Below are 26,983 nucleotides of genomic sequence, written 5' to 3'. Positions count from 1 at the left end.
CTCCTTCCTCATCAAATGCTTAGACTACTAGTTGCAGGCACCTCCTGAACCTTCTCAGGTTAGATCAGTGGGGCAGTCATAGGAGGTACACCACTAACATCTCCCTTTTAGATAGAACTTGCCATTCAGCTGCAATGAATACCATTAAGCTAACTGCCTCCATCTGCAGCACTGTCAAGATCTACCACAGCATACCAGTTGAGGCAACGTCTTCTCTGGCAGCCCTCAGCCAATGACTGAACATGGCAATGGTATGAGGGTCTAGTCATTTCTGTCCAATGTTGAATTTCCCTAACAAGCGATATTTTCCCCAGAGTTCCACAATGGGTTAGCTGAGATTTTGCTAGATATTTACTTATTTATTTGTTTTAGAGTCTCGCTCTGTTGCCCAGACTGAAATGCAGTGGCACAATCTCGGCTCACTGCAACCTCTGACTCCCAGGCTCAGGTGATTCTCATGCCTCAGACTCCCGAGTAGCTGGGATTACAGGCATGAGCCACCACACCTGGCTAATTTTTGTATTTTTTAGTAGAGACAGGGTTTCACCATGTTGGCCAGACTGGTATCGAACTCCTGACCTCAAGTGATCCACCTGCCTCGGCCTCCCAAAATACTGGGATTACAGGCATGAACCATCCAACCCAGCCTGATTTTTAGATCTACACCACAGTCTGTGTCTTTTTTTCCCCATCATTTTTCCAGTATTCTTGTACTCCTGAGTTAATGTTATATTCTCCTTCCTGGAACATCCAAAGTGAACCAGTTGGTATAAGGATTAGTGGTCTGAATGTTTATGTCTCTCCAATATTCATATGTTCAAATACTAACCTCCAAGGTGATAGTATTAGGAGGTGGGTGGGGCCTTTGGGAAGTAATTAGCCCTCATGATTGGCATTAGTGCCTCAGAGAGCTAGTTTGTCCCTTAAACTATGTGAGGGTTGCTGGGCATGGTGGTTCACGCCCGTAATCCCAGCACTTTGGGAGGCTGAGGCGGGCTGATTACCTGAGGTTGGGAGTTCAAGACCAGCCTGAGCAACATGGAGAAACCCTGTCTCTACTAAAAATACAAAATTAGCCGGGCATGGTGGCACATGCCTATAATCCCAGCTACTCGGGAGGCTGAGGCAGGAGAATCACTTGAACCCGGGAGGCGGAGGTTGCAGTGACCCGAGATTGTGCCATTGCACTCCAGCCTAGGTAACAAGAGCGTAACTCCATCTCAAAAAAAAAAAAAAAACAGCTATGTGAGGGCACATGAGATGACGCCATCTATTACGAAGTCAGCCCTCACCAGACACTAAATTTGCCAGCTCTTTGATCTTGAACTTTCCAGCCTCTGGAACTGTGAGAAATAAATTTGTTATTTATTAGCCAACCAGTTTATGTTATTTTGTTACAGCAACCCTGTAAAAAAAGAAAAAAAAACACATTCTGTTTCCCACAATCCCACTCTCACACTAAACACAGAACACTTCTGTGAACAGATGTGTGGGGGGCTATTCCCAAAACTAAGCAATTCTCCACTGGACACCAAATGGGTATTATATAATTGAATTCAATTCTGACACTATCTACCTGGACTAGTGTAATCCACCTGGCAATTTACCTGGAGATAATGTCAGATCCCACAGTTTGAGGGTTCAGCCCCACAAGATTGCCTTCACTTCAGATTTAAGTATTAGGTTGTCACCTATACTCTGACCTGCTACAAATCAGGGTTCCCACAACCTTCTTCCAGCATTTAATTAATTTGCTAGGTTGGCTCACCGAACTCAGGTAAACAACTTATATTTGCTGGTTTATTATGAAGGATATTATAAAGGATAAACATGAACAGACAGATGAAGATAGATAGGATGAGGTAAGGGGAGGAAAGCAGGCACAGAGCGGCCATGCTGTCTCTGGGTGTGCTAGCCTCCCAACATCTCTGTATCTTCAGCAACCCGGAAGTTCATCAAATCATGTTGTCCGAGTTTTTATAGAGCTTGACATCCATCCAGCCCCACTCCCTTTCCTGGAGGTTGTTGGGTGTAGTTAAAAGTTCCAATCCTCTCATCCTGTAATCACCTGGTTTTTCTGGCAACTGGCCTGATCCTGAGGCTATTTAGGGGCCCCACCCTAAATTATCTCATTAGCATAAACTCAGATGTGATCAAGAGAGGGATATTATGAATAACAAGGAAATTCCAAGGGTTTTAGCTCTGTGACAGGAACTGGAGACAAAGACCAAATTATTTCATATTATACCACAAACTCAAACAAACGGATAGATGGGGCTTGGGGTTAGATCAGAACTGTCCCACTGTTAATGGGATATGTGATTGCTGGAGCATGGATAGTTCCTGGAAGAACGTGGTGGCTCAGTCATTAAAACTTACAGGAGTAGCCGGGTGCGGTGGGTTACACCTGTAATCTCAGCACTTTGGGAGGCCGAGGCGGGTGGATCATGAGGTCAGGAGATCGAGACCATCCTGGCTAACATGGTGAAACCCTGTCTCTACTGAAAATACAAAAAATTAGCCGGGCGTTGTGGCGGGCGCCTGTAGTCCCAGCTACTCGGGAGGCTGAGGCAGGAGAATGGCGTGAACCCGGGAGGCAGAGCTTGCAGGGGGCTGGGATCACGCCACTGCATTCCAGCTTGGGCTACAGAGCAAGACTCCGTCTCAAAAAAAAAAAAAAAACAACTTACAGGAGTGACTTGGGAGAATGTTCTGATGCAGAGCAATGCCCTTGTTGGGGCAAAAATTCAGTGTGTGTGTGTGATAATATCTACAAGAACAATGGAATTGGCCAGCTATTATAAAATTACATTAAGGCCTACAAAACGTTAATGAAAATCTGAGAGCTTGTTAACAAACAAGTGAAAACTTACTGTGTAGGCCAGACAGCTTCTTTAGTAGCTTACAAAGAGGCCCTTATCTTTTTGTCCTGGGAAAACAGAAAAAAGCTGGAACACCAAACTCAGGACTTAACAGTCAAGAAGATTAAAATACAATTGAAGCCAAGGTTAGGTTGTTAGTTGGAAAACTTGGGACTCTGGCATACAGGATGAGGACAGCTAGGGGGATACCCCCAAACATTTTGGCTGTCAAATCTCCTCTGAATACTCAGTCTGCAGAGGCTGCCTACCTTTCTTACTGAAAGCTAGTACTCAAAAGTAGATAGTTCCTGAATAAGGCAACAGAGGGCCTTCTTGGAAACCTACCCTATCTCTCATGACTGTCAGACCAGTATCTAGGATTAAGTCATGGCCCAAATGGGAATGTGCTAGGCCTAATGTATACCCCCAAAAGAAGCTGCAAGAATTAGTCAGAATATATTGGTAGGAAATAGAGGAGTATGTGGGACTGGATGTTGAGGGTGTTTGATCAAGAAGGCTGAAACATAAGACTGGAAAAAAGTGACATCATTAAGTTGGAGGCAATTTGAGGATATGAGATTTAATACTCTATCGGGGTCCCTGAGGAGGGTGCAAACTTCCGGTTAGGATGGTTACTAGAAGCAATTGCCCATGTTGAGTGAAGTCGAAATGCCTCAACTGCTAAAGGCAGACAGTGAAGAACAAGATTTAAAGGGGTCAGGGAAATGGGTAGGCTGGAGTAGATACATTATGTGAGGCCAGCAGCCCACACAAGAATGATGTTCCATGGGAGGGCCTGGAGGACACACCATTCACTAAGGCCATCAGGAATGTACTAGTAAGAGAGGCACTAGCCTCACTAAAAAGTTCAGTGCCAGTTCACCTTTGATAGTCAGAGGTAACGGTAGAAGATACTATCACAGAACTTGGCTTATCAAAAGGAATGGGAATGATGGGCCCCAGAAGCACATTAAATGCCAGGGGGCAGGGTTTATTGCCAGAAGTCAGGGGGAGTCACAATTATCATGACCAGCAAAATCAGAGTGACAGTCAAGGGGGTTCAACCCAAAACAAGTTTTAGAGTTGGCTAACAGAGTTCAGTGTCCCTATGTGCAAAACAGATGGGGAGGCAACAAGAGTACCGCCTCACATATATAATCAAAAAAAGCAAGAGTGGATGGGGAGACTAAGAGTGGTTATCACAATAAAAAGCATCATGATCCCTCACTCAATTGCCAGATCTGAGCCAATTTTCAGACTGGGAACCTGTTGACAGGTGGCCAGATCCCTGGAGGGAAGGAACCCATAATCATATACTGTAATGATTCTTCCCATCCTTTCCTAAAGGGATCTAGGCCTTTTCTCAGGTGACTGCACACTGGAAAGTGGGGAATATTTAGATACTTCAGAGAAGACAGACACAGGGTCTGAGTTGACATTAATACCTGCAGACCAACAGTATCATCTTGGCCTTACTAGAGCAGCAGCATATAGGAGCCAGGTATTAGGTTTGTGCAAAAGTAATTGCAGTTTTTGACATTTTTACTTTTAATGTCAAAAACTGCAATTACTTTTGCACCAAACTAATAATAAACTTTAGTCTTGGCCAAATCCTGGCTTATGATGTGTACCCTGGGTCCATGGGAACAGCTGATGGTCCCCAGTCCCTGAATGTTATATTTGGTATAGACATGCCTGGCAGTTAGAGTAATCTCTACATTGAGTTTTAGGTCCTGAAGTTAAGAGCTATTATAGTTAGGAAGGCATAGACATGCTTGGCAGTTAGAGTAATTTCTACATTGAGTTTTAGATCCTGAAGTAAGACCTATTATAGTGGGGAAAGCTAAGTAGAGTCTTGGAAACTTCAGACAAAAGAGTAAACCAAAAGCAGTATCTCACATTTCAGGTGGGGATGGAGAAGATTAGTGCCAACTCTTAAAGACTTCCAGGATGCCTTGATGCTGATCCCTATCATATTTTCATTTAATTCACCTGTCTGCCCCCCACAAAAACTAGATAAATCCTAGACAAGGACCACAGGCTACTGCTAGTCCAAGTAGTAGCCCTGATTGTAGCTGCCAGAACTATATCTTTAGTAGAGCATAGTATGGCCACAGGTACACAGCATGTGGTATAGCAAAATGAGCACATAACCTTCTTGACAGTTACGCTGCCCACTCCTTTAATTTTATTTATTTTTTAGAGTTGTTCCATCCATACCTCAATTATCCCAATATTTTTAGCAACTTGTTGCTATGGACTGAATGTGTGCATCCTCCCAAAACTCAATCCTACCCCCTAATGTAATATTAGCAAGTGCGGCCTTTGGTAGATAATTAGGATTAGGTGTGGTCTTGAGGGGACACTAATCCCATGAGGGATTAGTACCCAAGAGGGCTTGCTTCTTTCTGCTGTCTGCCATGTGAGAGTCCCACAAGTAGGCAGTCTGCAGCCCAGAAGAGGGCACTCACCAGAACCTGAATATGTTAACACTATCTTAGACTTCCAGCCACCAGAACTGTGTGAAACAAATTTCTGTCATTTATAGACCATCCAATCTACAGTAATTTGTTATATCAGCCTGAACTAAGACACTTGTCTTTCAGTTTTTCAAAAGCATGCAACAAAATTTTCATAGAAACAGTTGCCTTCTTAGTTCATCAATTTCCATAATTTTTTCAATTACATAATAGCAATAATGTGCAACTAGCATTAACAGGCTTACCAACAGACACAATAATCTCTTAAAACATACAATTCAACTTATAGGAAAAGTAATGCATATTGTATTAGAGTAGCTTACCATCTGCAAACACGTAGATTCATCATGCCGATGACAACAGTTTTACAGATAGAATACATAGGGTCTGGCATTCATTCCAAGGAGTTAAGTGGGGCTCAGTTATGAGTGCATTTACACTCAGAAAGAATATGATTTTCCCCTTTCTCCCAGCTTTGTGTGGGGGGTGTTGCGGGGGGATTTGTGGGAAGGGATAGAGGGTAATATAGTGAAATTTTTGCTCTTTTCAACTCTAAACAGATATGATTTTATCATATGCCTGCCCCAAACCACTATTAGTCCCCATTGCCTTCAAGAGAAATCTCTTTAAAACTAGTGCATAAGGCCCTATACCATCTCGGATCCTCACCATCTTTTCAGTCTTAATTTCTACCTTGTGCCATTTTCTGCTGCCAACTTTTTTTTCAAGCCAAATCAGAGGAGATCATGCTTTTTCACGTACCCATGTCTCTTCCACTCAGTCTGGGATGAATTTTCCCTTTTTTTGGGTGATTAGATAACTTACTGTCCAAACTGTGACACACGTGAGAAAGGGGACACTAATGAGATAAAACAATGGGAAAGCAGATGCAAACTGGGGTAGTACCCTGCAAACTGGCCTATGGTCACCCCACTCGTCATTGGCCCAGTGAATTCATCATCACTGTGATCTCACTACCTAACACTCAGTGCGTGCTTCAAAAATCTTAGCTAAAATTTATTATGTACTGTACGATCTATTGCTGTTTTTACTGCTCTCTCTAACCTTGGTCACCACTTACACATATAGAAACTTTGTGTCAGTTACAAAATGTGCCCTTTCTTCTTGGCAGCAAATTCCAGACTATATGGTGAATGGACACCAGGCTGGATTTCACAACTTTCCCCTCCCATGAACATTTTTGTGTAGCAAAACAAATTGCTCAATGCGTCTCCAACTATATATCCTGTATAAAAATTAAGAGGTTGTAAAGATATTGAAACATTCCACTAAAATACATGTCAGATGCCAGCTGAATTTTGGGTGAGATAAGATGCAAAGTGGATCTGTAGTAAGAGAAAGAAGTTAAGTATCAAATACCTATCTGGAATTTTATGCAGTGAATATGAGAACACTGTGAAAATCTATTGGGAAGTAATAAATTTGTTACACATAGAAACAGTTGAGTATTTTACAAGTGGAACATAGGGCTATAATATTACTTTGGGAAAACATACTGCCAATATCAACCTAAGAAAAAGAAAAACTGATATTCTTCTCTCTCCAAAATGGGCTTTGATAAATTATGTATAAAATGTTCAATTTGTTTTAAGAAATCTATCTTAACAAATCTATCAGTGTTTTTGTTGTTTTTCAACACTTTTGCAGTACTTTTAGCATGGTACATACATTAAAAATATTAGCCATTAGGCACTTAAAAAAACCCCAAAACTTCAAACTTCGTAACCTTTAAGATCCTGACTTTCCTTCTAGGCCTACTCCATGTACCCTACTCCTCTATTACCCATTCTCTATATCTGGAACACCAAATATTTTTATTTAAAATTGCTTGCATTAAAATAGCAATTTAAGATACAATTTTTAAAATGGGCTCAATTTAAAAGTCTAAGCTTCATCAGGTTAAAAAACTTAACAATTAAAATATGCAATTAACAAATCAAAGTGTTGAAAGGCTCACAATTAAAAAAAAAATAGCCTGTGCCTCATCTCTCCTCCCCATCTCTGTTTTCTATTTTAAAGAGACAAACACTTTTTAGCTACTGAAAGCTGTTTATTCTGCTAGCAAGTTCCATTTTTCTAAATAATATATATTCCTAGCTACTTCTTCATTTATATATTTTAGACCTTATCTCTTGACTTCTTATTAATAGGATTTTATCAGTTAGGATGCCTCAACTTGTAGTAATCACAATCCCACCTAGTTTAAAAAATGAGAACTACAGCCGAGCACAGGGGCATGTGCCTGTAGTCCCAGCTACTTGGGAGGGAAGGATCACTTGAGCCCAGGTTTTCAAAAACAGCCTGGGCAATATAGGAAGACTCCCGTCTCTAAATAAATAAAATTTTGAAAAATTTACAAAAAAAAGAAGAAGAAGAAATGAGAACTGCATTTATTTTCACAACTGGAAGCACAGAGTTTATGAGAAGCCTCAGAGTCAGCTTCACCCAGCAGCTCTAGCTCCATTTCTCTGTAGTTCCCTCAGTTCTCTTCTCTTCTGTGTGATGTCTTCATCTTTACATCGATTGCGTCTCTCGTGGAAGCAAAAGAAATGTAACAGTTCCTGGTTTCACAACAACACACCCAACACCCAGAGGCAAAAAAGAAGCTCATTGTCATCTTTCATTTAAAAAAAAAAAAAAAAGCCTCCTCTCTGAATTCCTAAACAAACCTCTCACAACTCTTTATTCCAAATTGGGTTATATGCCCATTCCTTAACTATGCCCTATGGCCTAGGGAATGCCATGAATTTATTGGCTTAGATCTGCCCATCCATAAATGTAGTAGAGTGGCAAGCAGGATGGGATTATACTAATCAATTTAAGTGAATCAGGCTGAACTCTAAAGCTGGACCATGTGGCCACTATCCTATGGGAGAAAGACAGATGGAGGTTGGATCAACAATGCCAACTTCCACTATGGGCATTTAGCACTCACATGCTACATCCACCCCTACCACTCCAATAGAACTACTGTCTATCACCATATTTTTTAAAATCAATAACAATATTTACTTCACGTTGACAATAGATGGTAATAGGGCACGATGATTTTGTTTCCTTTCTGTATAATTGTTATGCTTCACTGGTAATTTTTAATTGCTGCTTCTTAAAAATCCTACAAAATTTACTTTTAATACATCCTTAAGTTTTCCAAATGTTTCATCATATCAGTTTATCAGGGAGCTTATGTATTAGTAACAGAGAAGACAACAGACAAGACAGGTAAAATAAAGTAATTGCAAATCACGATCATTACTACGAAGGAAATACACAGGGTAATTAGAAAAGTAACAGAGGAAGCCCTCTTTGGAAAATGTTTTGGAGGCCTCTCTAAGGAAGTGACATCTGGCCTCAGACCTAAAAGATGACAAATAGCCCTATGTGTGAAGAGCCAAGGAAGCATTCCAGGAACAGAAATGACCAGAGCAAAAGCCTGCAAGTGGAAAAGAATTTGGCAGGCTTGAGGACAGAAAGCAAGCCAATTGGCTGGAACATAATGAGTAGAGGGGAGAATGATAGGGGATGGGATTTTGGAGAGTTAGACTGAAGTGAGATCATGCAGGCTCTTGTAAGACTCAATAGAAAGGAGGTTGAATTTTTCTGAAAGAGTGCAAAGCAACATGATTTGTTTTACATTTTTAAAGACCTCTCTCTCTCTGATTTCTATATGAGAGTGGCAGGCAGGGGGAAGGCACAGAACAGAAATGGAAGTATGAAAAACAGGCGGAAGTCCTACCACCATTCTCTTCCTTGCAGCAGTTCTATTTTACTGTAGATTTGGGGCTATACAGAGTTTTTTTCTTAAGTTTGAACCCTTTTCAAAATGTCTAATTAGCTTATTTTATTAATGTATTGTCATTGAAAACTGCATGTTGATTTAACTGTGAAAACCCATAGGACAACAACATGGAGAGCTAATTGTACTTCTTTTCCCTTCCCATCCAATATGTCTATTTGTCTAGGCTAATTATTTTTGATGAGTTAGGTAGGTCCATATACTGTCTCCTTGGGAGCTTTGTTAATGGCAGTATATGAAACAACAGTTTTGCACAGTTTTTACTTACATTTCTCTAAAGTGATATTAACTAAGCAGAGGAAAAAACAGAAACATGATTCATAATAACAAATGTTAAGAAATGATAAAATCAAATTGATTGAAAAATCATTTCTTAAAAGTAAAATATTCATGCCTTATACCTGTTATACCAAGTCTAATTTCAGGCAGTTAAAAAATTAAGATGTATAGAGAACTTAAAAAATGAAAAGAAAGAGAGAAGTTTCTAGCCAAATGAATATTTTTACTTCCTCAAATTAATGTTAATACAAAATTTGTAAAAATGAATTCAGATAAAAATTAAAAAATAATTTTTTAAATTGTTGAATGAGTGCTCACTCTATTATCAACTCTATTTCTTACTTACTTATCTTCAGCAGTATCTGCCTCTTCCAGTCCTTTCCATGTCACAACGCTCTCCTACCTTAAGGTCTTTGCATTTGCTCTCCTTCCTACTTTTCCCACGGTTCTTCCTACAATCAGCTCCATCTCATCCTTCCAGATACAGCTCAAAGAAGCCTTCTCTGACCACCCTAACTGCTCTTCCCATGTAAATGTCTCGTTACTCTTTCTGATAGTACCCTATCTTTCCTTTACAGAAATCATCCCAATATCTTATTTATTTATAAAGATAGAAGGACTTGCTATGATGCCTAGGTGGGCCTCCACTAAAGGTCGTAGACTCAAGCAATCCTCCCGCCTCAGCCTCTCACGTAGCTGGGACTACAGGCATGTACCACGGCACCCAGCTTCCATTTAGAATCCTGTTATTTACTTATTCATCTGTCTTTCTCCTCCTCCAATTTCAAACTAGAATGTCAACTCCAAGTGAGAAAAACCCTGTCCTTCACACTGTTTTCCTAGTACTTGGCCTGAGGACAGGGATAGAGAGAGCTTTCAAGAAATATTTGAATTTATACTGCAATCTGTGGACTCAATACAAATTTAACTAGCTCAATTACAGTATATACTGTATGCAGCAGGAGTATGATAGGACATAATAGGCCCTTGTAATCTTACAAGGCATAAATTAATTGAACCACTTCCTAACCAGTTATTAGAAAATCTGGCTACACCCAGTTTGGATTCCCTTTTATAGAGTCCTTCAGGTACATTCCCAAGTGAAAGACACTGAGGTTCCTCATTTGGGTAAGGGTACTCACTTATGGCAGGTGCAAATTCCTTTGAATTGGAGAATGGGAGGTGCCTGAGAAGTTGAGATAGTCTGTGGTCTGGGTCTACTGCAGACATTGGGGTTTTATGGCATGCAACTGCTCTACTGTGAAGGATTGCTTGCCGATTTTCTTTTAGGGGAGATTCCTTTTGTATTTAGTTAATGCTGAAGACCTTAGTGGGTCAGCTTTCTCCTTAAGTTGTCAATTCTTCTGAACTTCTGTTTCTTAGCAACAGCTGGGACTCTGTCCATCGACATTGTTCTGTTTTAGCCTCACAAGCAAACAAGAGAATAAGCAGGCATGCCAGCTTGCCCTTTAGTCATATCCCTATACACACAGTGCATTCCAATCCTAGTTGCTATTGATAGATGGTGTGAAGTATCATCATATTTCTGTGAGGCATGAAAAGGGGTAGGCAGTAGAAAATATTTGGGGAGGAAGCTGAGGAATTAGAGTTCTTTATTATCACTTGCACCTCCTTGAGTCTTATTCCTAATACTAAGATTTCACTTTCTGGTACTCAGTGTAAAAACTCTAGTATTAGAAAAAATGTGGCAAAAAAATGCTGCAATTAAACACGCCTCTCGAATAATTTGATCTGGTCAAACATTCTCAGACCATAGGCTACAGGCAGAAATGGCTTCCAATAATTGTCAAATTTGCAGAGTTTGCTCCAATCTGCTTTGTTTCTGGAAAACTTGTTTAGAATGCCTCTCTTTTCCAATGTGCTTTTCAAAACTCATATATAGTAACCAATATACTTGACATTTAAAAATATTTGGCTACCAAATTCTGTAATGCAACACTCAATGACTGAGTTCTAAAACACTGTTGGAGAAAGTCTGGATAAAAGGATTCACTGCTGCATAACACAAACTAAGTTTCCATCTTAATGGTGGAAAGTCCACATTACCCACCTATCTCACCTTGAATCAGCCATTGTCAGTTTCTGTGAGGTTTGTTATTTGCAACCCCATTCACAGTCAAACTGAGGCAGGGCTCTTTCAGTTGCAACTGGCTGAAACCCACTCAAGCTAGATTAAGACACAAAATTTTATTTTAAGGATAAATTATTATAAATAATTCAAAGATAGGGAGCAGACCTATCCTTGCAAAGCGCTAAGATCAGGAACCAGAAAGCTATCAGGAACTGAGGCAGCTACAGTATCTCTGTCTGGTATGTCAGCACTGCTTCATGAAAGCAGACTCCGGGGTCAAATTACTTGGGTTTTACTATCTTTAGCACTTACTTTAAGCAAGCTTTTTAGTTTCCTTACCTGTAATGTAAGGATAATAGTACAGGTTGAGCACCCCTAATTAAAAAGCTGATTTGCTCCAAAATCTGAAACTTTTTATTATTATGTTTTAAATACAGCTGGGGTTTCACTATGTTGCCCAGGCAGGTCTTGAACTCCTAGATTCAAGCAATCTTTCTGCCTCATGAAACTTTCTGAGCACCCACATGACACAGCAGGTGGAAAATTCCACACCTGACCTTGTATGATGCATCACGTGTTTCATGCACAAAATTACTGAAAACATTGTATAAAACTGCCTTCAGGCTATGTGTATAAGGTATATATAAAGCATAAAATATAAAGCATAAAAGAATTTCATGTTTAGACTTGAGTACTCATCCCCAAATATCTAATTATATATACGCGAATATTCCAATAACCCAAATCCTAAACACTTCTGGTCCCAACCATTTTGGATAAGGAATACTAAACCTGTACCCAAATTCACAGACTTATAGCACTTAGAACACTGGGTGACACAGTAAGTAATCTGAGATTACTCTTGTTCTGTATCACAGCTCTCAGATTCTCCACATGCTGCTTGCTACCAAACAAAGCAGCCCTGGCCTAAGGTTATATTTTCCCAGTTCAAGTGATCAGCAGTCTGACAAGCTTCTCTCAATCCTAATTTTAAATTCTCAGAAAAATCTGATTCATTCAGATAGGGTTCTGTTGTTCAACTAGCTAAAGCCAGAGGTGTTAGGTCACCTAATGCATTCTTAACTGCTGAGGCCCATTCCTGAATGTGTGTGGACGTTTCTCAGTGGTGAGGGATCATGAATGAAGGCTAAAATTTTAAAAATGTTTTTTATACTTCTCTCAGCTATCTTCTGTTCTTTTATAGTCACAAAAAGTACCCAAGTAAGTGACTTATTCAATGTCATACAGCTAATGAAAGATGAAGCTGTGATACAAAACTAGGTCTGAAGCTGGTCCAAAGGTAGTGAGTTATCTCAATTGGTTGTTCAGTCAGGTCTAGATTGAACTCTTGTTCTACTCTTTCCCTCCTTCTCACTCCTGCACTTGACTAGTCTTAAAAAACAAACAAACTAGGTCTGATTCCAAATCCCATATTCCTTTTACCAAATAATGCATTAGAGTTATTTATATTTATTGAGAATATAGTATGTAGTTGACCCTGTATTTAACCAAGCTTGAGACAGAAGACTTCAAGTAGTTAAGAAGTGGCTTTGCTGTTTTTCTTATATTTAGTAATTAAAAAACACTGGAGTATAACACATATAAAGTTCACAAAAAGTCAATGTGCGGCTTGATGAACTTTCTCATACGCATACACCAGTATAACATTCCAGATCAAGGTATACATTTCCATCACTTCAGAAGGTTCACTGTGCCCCTTCCAAGCCAATACCAACCCCAGAAAGGTCAATATCATCCTGACTTCTATCATCGATTAGTTTCGCTTGTTCCTGAATTTCATATAAATGGAATTATACAATATGAATTATTTTGTGTTTATTTCACTCAATGCAATGACTGCGAGATTTGTCTATGTTACTGTGTGTAGCATTTTCTTTTTTATTACCAGATAATATTCCATTTTATGAATATGCTTCACTTTGTTCCAGTTTGGGGCTATAATGAATCAAACTGCTATGAACATTGTTACACGAAACTTTTAGTAGCCACATACATTAATTTCTCTTGCGTATACACTCAGGAATGAAACTGCTGAATTACAGGGTAGGATAAGTTCAGCTATAATGAATACTGCACATCAGTTTTCCAAAGTGGTTGTAACCAATTTGCACCCTTACCAGCAATAACAGTTTGTTACACTGTAAATTGTTAACAAGAAAAATAACATTGCAATCAGTCTATTATGCTAGTCACATTTCTTTGTTCTGAAAAATGTATTTTATTTGAGGCTCCTTTGTTACTGGTTATAAGAAAGGGTGAGTTTTGGCTAAGCTGTTAGGTAGAGAGTAGATCCTCATTCATTAGCACCCTTACCAAACCACAACTCCAATCTGTGTAAGATTTCACTGGAAAATACTACCTAGCTTGCCATCGCTTACAGCAAGTTTTTTCAACAAGGGCACTCTTGTCATTTTGAGCCAGATAATTCTTTCTTATGAGAGGAGAGGGGGCTGTGCAGTACACTGCAGGATTTTTAACAGTATCCTGGCCTCTAACTACTATGTATGAATAGTGCCAACTCCGCAAAACCCACCCACTGGGATGACCACAAAAATGTTTCCAGATTTTGGCAAATGTTCTCTTTTGGGCGAAATCCTCCCTACTCAATGGCCATTACCAACCACTGTTTTATAAATAGGTGTCCTGTCCTACCCACATGTCATCTAAACAAAACGTTATGAGTCAATACTGTGTTAATAGGATGCTGTCAATGATTTTTCAACAATGGCACATTAGAATCACCTAGGGGAGCTTTTAAAAAAATGCATGTGCCAAGGCCCCACCTCAGAACCATGGAATATAATCTTGAGCATTTTTAGTACACAACTCCTCAGTTAATTCTAAATTTTGGCACAGCTGAGAATTATGTATCTTCTAAACATATTACTCTTCCCAGGAATATATGCTTTAAAACAGATTTCTATCAATGACTTTTCAAGCATTAGTAGAGGATGAAGTATAGATTTGTGGAACAGGAGGTTCTCAGTCTCAAATCACACCAATTAAGTGACCACCCATAGCCCGTAACTGTAAATGATGGTATTGTTCAGTTCCTGTTTGAAAAAAAACAATGAAAACAAATTCTCCCAAATCAGACTTTGAAGATATTAATGTATTTGTTTTTTAGATGATTAATATGTGCTAATCCTTCCACCTAATTCTTATACAGCAACTGGACATTATTCACCACTCTTTCCATGAAGCCTTACTCATCTTCAGTAGCGCAACACCCTGCTGGTAACTGTGTAACTCCTCCTTATCCAGTTCATCTTCCTCTACCTAGTCAAAAATAAACTGGAATTCTTCACTGCACACACTTAGGCTGTCTTCCAAGTTTACTTCATGAATACTCAAGACTTTAATTTTTCCCTACACACTTCACACTTAACAGCTTTAATTTTCAGTCTAGACTTCACTTAGCTCCATGGTTCTATCCAGAAACCTCCTGGGCAATTCAAAGGCATCAGAAATTCTGTAAGTCTTTTTTTTTTTTTTTTTTTTTCCCAAGACAGAGTCTAGCTCTGTCGCTCAGGCTGGAAGGCAGTGTCACGATCTCGGCTCACTGCAACCTCCGCCTCCCAGGTTCAATCCATTCTCCTGCCTCAGCCTCCCAAATAGCTGGGACTACAGGTGCATGCCACCATGCCCGGCTAATTTTTTAATTTTTAATTTTTAGTAGAGATAGGGTTTCAACGTGTTGGCCAGGATGGTCTCGATCTCCTGACCTTGTGATCCACCCGCTTTGGCCTCCCAAAGTGCTGGGATGAGCCATCACACCCGGCCCAATTCTGTCTTAAACCAAACGTAATGATCTCCCTATCTATACATCTCCAAATACATTACTATATAAGTGAATGTCATTCAGCTGCAAATGACTAACATCCCTCCTCCTCCTAACCCTGCCTGAATCCAATCCCATCAAGTTTTGTTACCCTTCCCAATTCTACTTCTCTCCACCTCCATTACACTATCCTAGTCTATCATGTCATTTCTAACCTCTCTTATCTGCCAAAGACTCCTGACTTAATTAGGAATACTGTATCTACTTCAACCCACATCTAATCCTTCTTTGGGATTTATACCTAAAGTAAAAACTTTCAATTTGCCAGTCCCATCAAGCTACCACCCAGTTTCAAATCCTTCAATAGCTTCCTCATTGTCTTGAAAAACATACTTCACTTAGCCTTTGGGCCTAGTGTCTATGTAGCCTCATCTTGTCCAGCTGCTGTTTGCTCCAGCAGAACCATGCTTCTTAGAGTCCCTTATAGATAGGATGGCCCTGCAATTTACTATCCAAACCTGAACACTTCTGAAAGTGAATACGGCCTGTTCTTGGCAAACTGGCAAGTGCACTGACGTGATCTCTCTGACCCCAGAATCTTTGCCCATGTTGTTTCTTTTACCCAGAAAGCAGCTCTTGTACTTCCCTTTCTTGCCTACCTAATTCATATTAATTCTTCAGCTCTAGACCACAACGATCACGTCACTTCCTTGAGACTTTTCTGACTAGGGTTCTTTATTATGGATTCTCACAGCACCGTATGTCTCTTCATACTATTTTTCTAAGTTGTCATTTTATAGTGTGACTGTGTCCTGAACTAGGCTTTAACTTTGAAAGTGTTAGTTTTTGCTGTATTATAATCCCTCCCTACCCTCAGCAGAATGTCTGGTATGTAATACATTCTTACATTTGTATTGAATGAATATCAATACAATGCACTGGGGCACAGTACTCTTTGCTCAAGGACCTCACAATGTAGTATGGAAACAAATGCTATATTGTGATACAATGACATGCCGCACTTACAGAATACTCAATTCCATGTCCTAAAAGGGAGGTCAGAGAGTTTTCTGACAAGTCTTATAGGTTGTCAGCACAATTGTGTCAAGGTACTCAACAGTTCTTGAGCATTTACTTAAACGAACTTATGAAAGACTGACCCATAAGATAAATGGGTTATATCCACTTACAATGAGAGATACCTTTCCAGTGACCTGAAGAAGTGTCTAGAGTACCAAGTGTCCATTAGGAATGATGAGAGGCAATACTGAGATTAGTCTGTGAAAAAATTAAGTAACTAAAATACTAGGAATATATGATATGTACATACATCTTCATATATGTTTAGTTTACAAATATATGTGGTATATAACAGGGGACTGATTTAGTTAGATTTCAAGTTTGAAGGAAACCTAAAGGATAAGCTGAAGGGAAAGATAGAGAAAATAGAGGCCTAAACTAAGCCCGGTAGTGGGAGTTAAAAAGAAAGGATGAATACAAAATTTCTGCATTAAAATGAGTGGTACCGTTTGTCCCTCAGTATCTGCAGAGAATTAGTTCCAGGACCCCCATTTACCAAAACCTGGGGATGCTCAAGTCCCTTATAGTTGAGCCTCTGTACCTGCAAATCCCTGCAGGTACAGAGGACCAACAGTATTTGGACAGCAGTGAATAAAGAATCTGGGCAAGGGCTGGGCATGGTGGCTCACACCTGTAATCCCAGCACTTTGGGAGGCTGAAGCAGGCAGATCACCTGAGGTCAGGAGTTTGACACCAGCCTTGCCAACATGGTGAAACCCAGTCTCTACTAAAAGTACACAAAATTAGCTGGGTGTGGTGGCGCGTGCCTGTAGTCCCAGCTACTTGGAAGGCTGAGGCATGAGAATCACTTGAACCCAGAAAGCGGAGATTGCAGTGAAATGAGATAGCACCACTGCACTCCAGCCTGGGTGACAAAGTGAGACTCTGTCTCAAAAAAAAAAAAAAAAAAAAAGAATCTGGGCAAGGAAATGAGTGATACAGCATCAATGCAATAATTTTTAAATATTTTTGAGGTTGGCTACTTAACCTTCTTTCTTACTCTGCGTGCACACTTAATTTTTCAGTAGAGGATGGAATCTTTGTATCTTCTTCAATGCCTATTAGATTTTATACATACTTGCCTCTTAGTATCATCTCTAACAATTTTCTGTTTGAAATTTAGCTTTTAGTGATTCAAGAATTTATCATTCAAAATCCCCAAATACAGTGACCATAAAGAAGGTGGATGAGCCGCTGGTAGATATCAGAATAATCTGGGAAACTTCCCAAATACTACCTAGAACCTAGAAATTCTGCATATCAGCAGAGGGGAAGAATAGGAGTGTCAGGCACGTGTAGTTACAAAAGAACTTTCCAGGTGACTGAGTCCTATCCCTTGCCCAACACTGGGAACTAAACTCCTCTAATTTCTTATTAGGAAAACAGAAAATGTACAGCAAATCTTCACTAGAAGATGACTTAGGATTTCATGGTTTCTATTCAGAGGACTTTGTAAATTTAAGAATCATATTGGAAAGACTTCCTCTGGTTTTGCAAGGACATGGGAAATACTGTCACAGGTTGAGATTCTAGGGTATTTTAATAATGTCCCGATTGTTTTTGTGGTTTCTCATATGCAAATCCTCCAGGCAACAAGGACATAATTATGGAATTAAAATCTTAACCCTGGCATCCAAAAAGCTAACAAAGGAGCAAGTTATCCTGTTTATGTTATATATTTCACAATTCTGGATATGTGGTTCCCAGCCTATCCCCACCTAAGGATACCCATTTAGTACTTTACCTAGTAAAGCATATCACAATTAAGGACCCACAAAATGCTGTCTTAGATTCCGGAAAAGTAATATTCTTTCCAAAGAATATGAAATTTTAAAAATGAGAAATTAAATAGTAACAAAAACCTCCTGGTTAATGTTAATTATGTGGAATTTTTCGTTAGTCATGTGTTGAGATTATCAACTGTTTGGCTATTGTTTTAGTACCACTAAGTAGAGATAAAGCTAGTTTATTCAAATAAAGTGACACTGCAAATTTAACTATGTTGATAACAAATCATCAAAAAGGTATCTTTGGATTACCTACACGCTTTTTAAAAAATGAACTGGCAAGATTGTTGCAATTTTCCACCTACTGTGTACTTCTGCAAAGCAATAAAGTATGATTTTACTCGAAATCTAAATCTCCAATGTTCAATATTTTATTACAAATTGGGCAAGATCTTTTTTCGAATAGCATGTTTGATGGCACAATACGACAGAATAGCATATTCAATGGCACAATTAGTAGTAAAAAAACAAAAAACCTGCCTGACGTGCTTCCGGAAAACGTAAAATAGACTGTATATACAGTAATTCTTTTCATAAGACAATGACAAAATGTCAGAGTTGTAATTGAGGACTTTATTAACTGAACTATACTTCTGATTACAACATTCTGTGTATGTTAATAGTTTCTCTGGAGAAATTACGGGCACAGGAAGTTCCTCTCATTAAGGATATTAACATAAAGCTTAATATGAAAAATTAGCACTCAGTTCAGAAATGACGACTTCAGAAATGACTTCAGAAATGACGATTTGTATGATCTTTTCATTCCTCACAACCCAGTATTAAAACTATCTAATATTGCAAAGGATGGTAGTGTTCCACTTCGTTTTGCTATTCAATTATTGCTGATAGATACATGTTTTCAAAAAGGCCATTGGCATCTGTTTGCTTTCTCCTACTTCTCCAAGTGAATACACCCTTCAATATGTAGTAAATACATATGTGGAGTTATGTTTTGAGATTTTTTTGAAGGATTTGAACCAAACTGTTTAAACAGCTGGTAGCCTAAAACTGGAATATTTCCCACAAGGGAAAAATAATTATTTGGGGAATGTATGTTACCACAAACTCATCTGACTTGGAAAGTGCGCCTTTACACCAAATCAAATAACTGAACAATGGGATTAGAAACTTTTAATTATTATTAACCTCGGCCACCGGGCGCCGTGGCTCACGCCTGTAATTCCAGCACTTTGGAAGGCAGTGGCAGGTGGATCGCTCGAGCTCAGGAGTTCAACACCAACCTAGCAACATGACAAAACCCCGCCTCTACAAACATAAATAAAAAACAAAAATCATTAACCTTGAGTGAGTCAAGTTCATCTGCAGACTGAAAAAAATAAAGTGTAACAGAATTTTGATTTAAAAAACGCTTTCAAAAAAGCATTTCAAAATGCTCTAAGTATGTTTCAAAAATACACTTAAAAATATGTTTCCAACACACTGAAGGGATTTAACTAAGATCCACAATTACAGTTACGATACAAACTGTAAGCTAAAAGGCAGCAACTTAAGCTGAGACAGTTACTAACATCCCTCGAGCAGCGTTTTTTGTTGCGATTCGGCGCCGCACCCGTCACCCCGCCCTCCGGGGAGGAACCTAGAAAGGAAGGGTGGTACATTTCTAAACCAGGCCACCCACACATGAATCAAGCGGCATCACAGGCTGTCAACAACCGGGTCTCTATTTTCTCTCCTCCTCCGGCGCCCCGCCCGTGCGGGACATCAGCTCCCAGGATGCGTCAATCGCAGATCGCCCAAGCGTAAGAGGTGGCGAGAGGCCACCACGGTTGCCCAACAGTTGCGTTCCCAGGCTGCCTGGTGTGACGCAGCAGCCCCCGCCCGGACCCTGAGGCCTGGCGCTCCGACTGAGCCGAGGCCTGTGCTACCCGACACTCCTTGCGACCCGGCCCCTTAGGCTTATTCAGCGCGGCCCTTCCCGGCTTCCCGAGTCCCATCGCAGTCTCTCCCCACCCCCGTTCCTCCCCGGTTCCTTGTCAGTGTCCGCCGCGATGTCCTTGCGCAACCATCCCAAGTGACATTAGCGCCCATACCCGCACGGAGCGAGCCTGAAGCTCCCACTTCCCGGAATTCAACGCCGGGCCGCTAAGGGCGGGCACCCAAGCGAGGATCAGCGGACTAAGGCCGCGACCAGAGTCCAGCGGTCTCCGCGCAGTCAGAGTCCGACAGCCTCTGCGCATCCGCCGTGCGCACTCCCATTCGTGCGCGTGCGCGCACTCGCCCCCCCCGCCCCGCCCCAGCACCAATCGCTTTTTTCCTACGCCCACGACCCTTCAACGTAGTCCCTCCCGCCTCCCGCGCGCGAGCAGAAAGGCTTCGGCGTGCGCGCGCCCGCCCGCCTCGCGCTCTGTCGGGAAGGGGAGTGAGCAGAGGCGCTTACGTCGCGCGGGAGGCGGAGGCGACGGCGACCTCGGTGGCGGCGGCGGCTACGACGGAGACGGTTGCGCTCGCTTGCTTTCTCGGCGTCATGGCGGCTGCCGGGGGCAGATAAGCGGAGGGAGCGGGAGCGCGCGCGCGACGGCGGCGGCGGCGGCGGCGACGACTGGTTACTTATAGCTCTTGCTGCCCTCGCCCTTGGTGCTTCAATAATGAATTGTTAGCTCCACTCCGCAGGGGATCGCGCGTTGGTGCTGCGGACCGGGGCTTCCCCTTCCCCTCCGCGTCTGTCCCCTTCCCCCTCCCCCGCACGGACTCTTGCTTACCCCGAGACGCCGGAGCCCTAGGACTGGGCGGCGGAGATCCCGGGCCTGGGCGCGGGGGAGGCCGTCCACCCGAGTCGGCTCCCTCCGCCCCGCCAAGCCCGCCGGTAAGAAAGGGGGCGGCGGGCGGGTCAGGATGTGGCGGAGAGGACAGGAACCGGCCGGGCGGAGGGCGGGCGCGGCGCGGTGCCCAGGCGGCGGCCCAGCGGCCGGGTGAAGGCCGGGTGGCTCTGTGAGTGCCGGTGGCGGTGTACGGGCCTGGCGCGCAGGGGGCGTGTGAGCGGCGAGTACAGGCCGGGGCCGCAGAACGCATCCTTGCGCCGGCCCGGCGGCCCTGCCCCGGCCTCTTCGGCTTGGTGCCGACCGGGCCGCGAGAGGAGACCCGCGAATGGCTAGCACTTAGCCGGTGCGTGGGTCCTGCCGCGACCCGGGCTCCCAGCACGTGGGGAGCGGCGGGAGGGGGAGGGGGCGGCGGCTCGGGCGAGCCTGGGAGGGCGCGGGGCGGGTCTGCGGGAAGTTTGAGGCGGGAAGAGGGACTCCTGGACCGGGATGGAGGCCCTGGGAGAGGGGGGCAGGTCCGCGAGGGAGGCTGATTGGAGCGCGCTGGATGGATGAGTGAGGATGGTTTCCAAACCTCTTTCGAGTGCCGCTTTAAAAACTTAGCAGGAGCAAAGCAACTGCTAAAAGACAGAGGATTGAAGAGGTTTAATAACTTAGGGTAGTCATTGTGGAGACGCTTGAGAGGACACAGCGCTGTGTGCGCTTGGAGCTTCAGAACTCAGGGTTGTGAAAAGGGTCTCAGAGGACTTATTCGGATAAGGGAGATGGAGGGGAAAGGAAGTTAAAATGTACAGAGAAAGCCATTTTGAGGGACGAAAGGAAGGTGAAAAGGAAAGAACGAAAAGGGGAGTGAACTTTTTAAAGGAAGAAACGGGAAAGGCAGTTTGTTAACATACTTAGATTTTTTAAGACTTAATTGTTCAGTAAGGCACTTTGACTAGGGTTGAGATTAATATTTAACATTAGGAATAAATGTTGAGTAGAACGGTTACTTTTTAGATAACCTGTTCTTGCAGAGTCTACTGGACAGTAGTCTAGAGAATTAACATCCTGATCCAGATGCAGACTTTGCTATCATTGAGTTGGTAACAATCTGTTTCCCTCCCTCTCTTGTGGAATGGAAATAATCGTAGGAGTGAATTCTCTTTGCTGAGGTCGGAGGACAGCTCTGCTCTCAGTTGGCTGTCTCGGTACTTTCTGGCTGGGGAAGGATCTGACGTCTCCTTCCCCCGCTTCTTCCTCTCCCTCCCCTGCCAGAGATCTCCTTTGTTTATTCGTGGATGGCTTGTAGGTGATTCTTCAGTGTTGTACTGAAATCTTTAAAGGTGGAAATGGTGTGTCTTGGTTCATTATTCTTGCCCCAAATTTTTTACGTAAAAAATCAGATATAGTGTATATTCTATTACCTTTTCAATTTTTTTCACAAAATAAAAACCAAGTGCAAACTGGTTAAGTATTATTTAAATGTTATCATCCCACTATCCGTTTACCTGTTAAATAACACATTTATTTTGAGCTATGCATTTTTGTTGAGAGTATATGGTATCTTTTATTTGCCTGTTCCTCCCATGGGAGCGTTTTCAGAACTTTCTCACTCAAGTGTATGAAGTTCTTGGTGATAGGAGTGAGGGCTTGATTAAAGGTAACCTCCTCCCACCCCCCCCCCCACTTCATTTATTCGACCAAGTTATCTAATAAGACTCCGTTATCTACTCTTGGGATGTATGCATATGTTACATCGTATCACCTTGCTTTAGGAGTCTATAAAAACATTGTTAGTTGCAGTTAGTCTCTAAAAATCCTTTCACTCCACAAATATTTTAATTTTTTCTGTCCGAAGTATATTAGCAGTAGCATACTAAATTCTAGTTAGCAGTCAGGAGTGTAGTTATTACAAGTCTAGATATTTTAAGTATTTAATAAAAGGCCCCCACTTCTTCCTTAACAGCTGTAGTCTAATTGGCCTACGTAGATTTATACGTTTTAGACAGGGCTTAATTTACCTTTTTTCTGCAGGAAATTTTGTTAATTTATTAATATATTTTCTTTAGGTGAATCAAAGGAGAGTCCCAGAAAACCTGTGACTGTTGAAGAAAATTCATCTGTGAATTTTTATATTCAAGGAGTCAGTATTTATATTCATCTTTTAAACTGGGAAGATTTATATTTTACTTTAAAACTTCTTGATAATAATTTACAATGAATGGACACAGTGATGAAGAAAGTGTTAGAAACAGTAGTGGAGAATCAAGGTAAGTAAGCACTTTGTTATCAATTGTTTACTATGAAGAGAGTTGAAAACTTGACTTTTTTCTTTATTGTTATTGTTGTTATTTAGTTTTCCTCATAGGTAGCAGAGTTTTCAGGTTTTCCTCTTAGCTATCCAAATACTAAAAAAATTCTGATATACGAACCTTTTTTCATAATACAGGTTTTAATTATATTTTTCATTCAGATACACAGTAGATCTTAAATATAGAAAGTTTTTGTTTACTTAAATCTATTTGGAAGTTTATATTTGAGCTAATAATTAAGCTGGAGCATGTATAATAGATTTAAATTGTTTTGACTGTTAGTGAAATTTCTAGATGAAGGCAATAAAAATTTTTTCACTCATCTTTTTCTGGCATTTTGTCTTCTATACCTGTACTGTCCAGTGTGGTAACCACTAGCCACATGTGGCTATTTGAACTCAATTACAAAATATTCAGAATTTACTTAGTCATACTAGATATATTTCAAGTGCTGAATAATCACATGTGGCTAGTGGCTACCATATTGGACAGCACATAGAAAACATTCTATCACTGGAGAAAGTTTTAGACAGTGCTGAGCCAGACATTTGTTGAAATATTACTGTGGCCCTTTTTTATTTTCAGATTGGAGTTTTAATTATCTGTGAAGGAGTTAAGAGTTCTTGCTTGGGTCAAGTGTTTGCAAAGAAGATTCTTTAAATTCTGTAGCTCTCAAATTTTGAGTTATCTGCACATTAGTTTACAATCCATGTAGTTATATGCATTATCATATATAGAAATTAGGAATGTGGGCACTGGAGTCAAACTGTTTGCTTACCCTATTTCTACCTCTTATTAGTTGTGTGAATTAGGGCAAATTACTTAATCTCTGAGGCTCTGATTTTTGCCCCATAAAGAGGGGATTAAACTATTGTTTATCTTATTTAAAGTTCACGGCTGGGCTTGTTGGATCCTGTTTGTAATCCCAGCACTTTGAGAGGCTGAGGAAGGAGGATCACTTGAACTCAAAAGTTGGAGACCAGTTTAGGCAGCATAGTGAGACTTTGTCTGTAATTTATAAAAAATAAAATTTAAAAAAAATTTGAGGATTGAGATGCTTCATGTAAAGGGCTTAAAATATTTTCTGAGATAATGAGCACTGAATATTTGCTTATTGTAACCAGCATGTTTTGTGTAACACAGGATACTATATAAAAAAAACATTAATTACAGTGATGGAGACATGGGGGTGGACAAGAAACAGGAAAGTTTTGGCAATTAGGAAGATTAAGAAAAAATGTTAGATAGAAAACTAAATAGTGGTATTTGTATTTGATCTGAAACTTGGACTTTTCTTTTTCTTTTTTTTTTTTTGAGACAGAGTCTTGCTCTGTCGCCCAGGCTGGAGTGCAGTGGTGTGATCCCGGCTCACTGCAACCTCCACCTCCCAGGCTCAAGTGTTTCTCCTACCTCAGCCTCCGGAGTAGCTGGGATTACAGGCGCTAGCCACCACTCCCAGCTAATTTTTGTATTTTTTTTGTAGAGATGGGGTTTCGCCACATTGGCCAGGCTGGTCTCGAACTCCTGGCCTCAAGTGATCCACCTGCCTCGAGCTCCCAAAGTGCTGAGATTATAGGCATGAGCCACCACGCCAGGCCTGACACTTGGAATTTTCTGACCTTGCTAGTTATACTTTAGTTTATCAGCTTTCATACATACTGTTTGGATAAGCAAGAACATCATAGAGAATAAAATAAGGAACAGTTATGGAAAGCAGCATTATTACTTGAACAAGTATTGGTCTAGGAGTTATACAACCTGAGTTGATGCTATCTCTGCATTAATTAAAACTCATATGATTGCCTCAACTCTAAGGATTGAACTGATATTGAAGTTTCATTTTAATTAATTACAAAGTGCATCGTAAAGTTTCAAACAGTAAAGTTTTACTAGAATCACCAGAGTTGAGGTTTAATTAAAAGACTTTTGAATCTGAGCTTTGATTCAAATCTCTATAGGTATGTTGACTACTGACTATAGTTAAGTAAATAGAAGAGTCATATTGTCCACCCACAATTTTTTTTTTCTTTTCTTTTCTTTTGAGACAGGGCCTCACTCTGTCACCCAGGCTGGAGTACAGTTGTGTAGTCTCAGCTCACTGCAGCCTCTGCCTCCACCTCCTGGGCTCAAACGATTCTCCCACCTCAGCATCCTGAAAGGCGTGCATGCCACCACACTCAGCTAATTTTAAAATTTTTTGTAGAGATGAGGTCTCACCATATTGCCTCAGCTGGTCTTGAACTCATGGGCTCAAGCAGTCCTCCCACCTTGGCCTCCCAAAGTGTTGGGATTACAGGTGTGAGCTGCCACACCCGGCCTCACATTTTCTTATTCATAGTTGGAATGGAATGGTTAGTAGGTAGAAATACCTAGAGGAAACAAAGGAACCAAACTATTCATAAAATAGGAGATAAGACTCGAGAGTAAATCTTCTAGTTGGATATGCAGACAGATCATGTGCTGGTATATTCTGACTACTTACCTGTTCCAATATTTTATATATTTTTCTGCCATATCTAAAGCGAGGAGGAGTAATAAGTCCAATTTGATACTACAGGTGAAAAAAAATTAAACCTTGTGGCCGGGTGCGGTGGCTTACGCCTGTAATCCCAGCACTTTGGGAGGCCGAGCAGGCAGATCACCTGAGGTTGGGAGTTCGAGACCACCTTGACCAACATGGAGAAATCCTGTCTCTACCAAAAATACAAAATGAGCTGGGTGTGGTGGCCTGTAATCCCAGCTGCTCGCGAGGCTGAGGCAGGAGAATTGCTTGAACCCAGGAGGCAGACGGAGGTTGCAGTGAGCCGGAGATTGCGCGATTGCACTCCAGCCTGGGAAACAAGTGAAACTCCGTCTCAAAAAAAAAAAAAAAATTAAACCTTGCGAAATCAAATTTAAGGAATCTTTTACAATGCATACTCATCTTAAATAATTGCAAAGCATATTTCTTTAATTATTCGGAGTTGTTAATTCTGCTATACAGGTTTTGTGTGCTTCTGAAAAGTGTGGTTATCAAGTTATCTAGTTTTTACAACTGCCTTGGAGTTTATCAGGAGAGAGACCTTCTTTTTTGCCTTCATTTTCTTTCTTACCGCTGCTATACTATGCTCTACTGTCATTAACACTCAATTCCCACTCCCTTCCCCAGAAGCTTTTGTCATAAGACATTACAAAGAAGGGAGATTGTGCCTAGTTAAAAGACTGAGGAGGTGAACTTTAGAGGTAGAGGGATTTTCTTGCAAAAAAAACTAAAGTTTCTATAACTATGAATATTAATATAGAGTAATTTTTTTTCTTTTTTTTGAGCCAGAGTCTTGCTCTGTCGCCCAGGCTGCAGTGCAGCGGTATGACCTCGGCTCACTGCATCCTCCGCCTACCGAGTTCAAGCAATTTTCCTGCCTCAGCCTCCCGAGTAGCTGGGACTACAGGCATGCACCACTGCATCCAGCTAATTTTTGTATTTTTAGCAGAGACGGTGTTTCGTCATGTTGGCCAGGCTGGTCTCGAACTCCTGACCTCAGGTGATCTGCCCGCCTTGGCCTCCCAAAGCACTGGGGATTACAGGCATGAGCCACCGTGCCTGGCCCCTAATATAATTAGATTAGAAATATACTTTGTTTCTAAAGTTGATATTCATTGTAAGTAGCTTTTTAAAGTAAATTTTGGTTTTTTAGTGGCTAGAATTCTATAATGTATTTTTGCTTCAAAATT

The 26,983-nt window shown here is 41.1% G+C and overlaps 1 protein-coding gene and 2 long non-coding RNA genes across 13 annotated transcripts in view, besides 5 other annotated features; 1 reads left to right on the top strand and 2 right to left on the bottom strand.

Moving 5' to 3' along the window:
* The window catches only part of CHD1-DT (CHD1 divergent transcript), a 75,460-nt gene extending 54,458 nt beyond the window's left edge, over positions 1 to 21,002 (bottom strand). The window contains exon 1 of the long non-coding RNA NR_151718.1: positions 20,922 to 21,002. This is a non-coding gene — a long non-coding RNA (CHD1 divergent transcript). The remainder of the gene's footprint in view (positions 1 to 20,921) is intronic.
* Positions 15,689 to 15,868: an enhancer, noted in NCBI's record as "active region_22838". NCBI's record gives its function as "activates an Ori minimal core promoter by ATAC-STARR-seq in GM12878 lymphoblastoid cells {active_cell/tissue: GM12878}" and the evidence as "EXISTENCE:reporter gene assay evidence [ECO:0000049][PMID:35858748]".
* On the bottom strand, positions 18,555 to 20,430 carry LOC100289230 (uncharacterized). The gene has a single exon (NR_036530.1). It is a non-coding gene; the product is annotated as an uncharacterized LOC100289230 (long non-coding RNA).
* Positions 19,642 to 20,540: an enhancer, noted in NCBI's record as "NANOG-H3K27ac-H3K4me1 hESC enhancer chr5:98264728-98265626 (GRCh37/hg19 assembly coordinates)". NCBI's record gives its function as "activates a minimal SCP1, AML or CMV promoter by ChIP-STARR-seq in naive H9 embryonic stem cells {active_cell/tissue: H9 hESC(naive)}" and the evidence as "EXISTENCE:reporter gene assay evidence [ECO:0000049][PMID:30033119]".
* Positions 19,824 to 20,153: an enhancer, noted in NCBI's record as "active region_22837". NCBI's record gives its function as "activates an Ori minimal core promoter by ATAC-STARR-seq in GM12878 lymphoblastoid cells {active_cell/tissue: GM12878}" and the evidence as "EXISTENCE:reporter gene assay evidence [ECO:0000049][PMID:35858748]".
* Positions 20,314 to 20,523: a silencer, noted in NCBI's record as "silent region_16205". NCBI's record gives its function as "represses an Ori minimal core promoter by ATAC-STARR-seq in GM12878 lymphoblastoid cells {active_cell/tissue: GM12878}" and the evidence as "EXISTENCE:reporter gene assay evidence [ECO:0000049][PMID:35858748]".
* Positions 20,557 to 26,983, top strand: part of CHD1 (chromodomain helicase DNA binding protein 1) — a 75,023-nt gene continuing 68,596 nt past the window's right edge. For 8 of the 11 annotated variants that reach the window (NR_157079.3, NR_157078.3, XM_047416670.1 and 5 more), the window contains exons 1-2: positions 20,557 to 21,025; positions 23,030 to 23,230. Coding sequence is in view for 9 of the 11 variants with exons in the window: in XM_047416670.1 (XP_047272626.1) it covers positions 23,178 to 23,230 (53 nt within the window). In the remaining 2 variants the exon portion in view is untranslated. The other 3 variants (NM_001376194.2, XM_024454344.2, XM_047416669.1) reach the window with 3 other exon arrangements.
* Positions 20,784 to 21,413: a silencer, noted in NCBI's record as "silent region_16204". NCBI's record gives its function as "represses an Ori minimal core promoter by ATAC-STARR-seq in GM12878 lymphoblastoid cells {active_cell/tissue: GM12878}" and the evidence as "EXISTENCE:reporter gene assay evidence [ECO:0000049][PMID:35858748]".

The sequence above is a fragment of the Homo sapiens genome, chromosome 5 (genome assembly GCF_000001405.40).
Source record: "Homo sapiens chromosome 5, GRCh38.p14 Primary Assembly".
In the NCBI taxonomy this organism is placed as follows: domain Eukaryota; kingdom Metazoa; phylum Chordata; class Mammalia; order Primates; family Hominidae; genus Homo; species Homo sapiens.
Note: the sequence above shows the minus strand (reverse complement) of the source record. Positions and strands in the feature narration are given on the sequence as shown.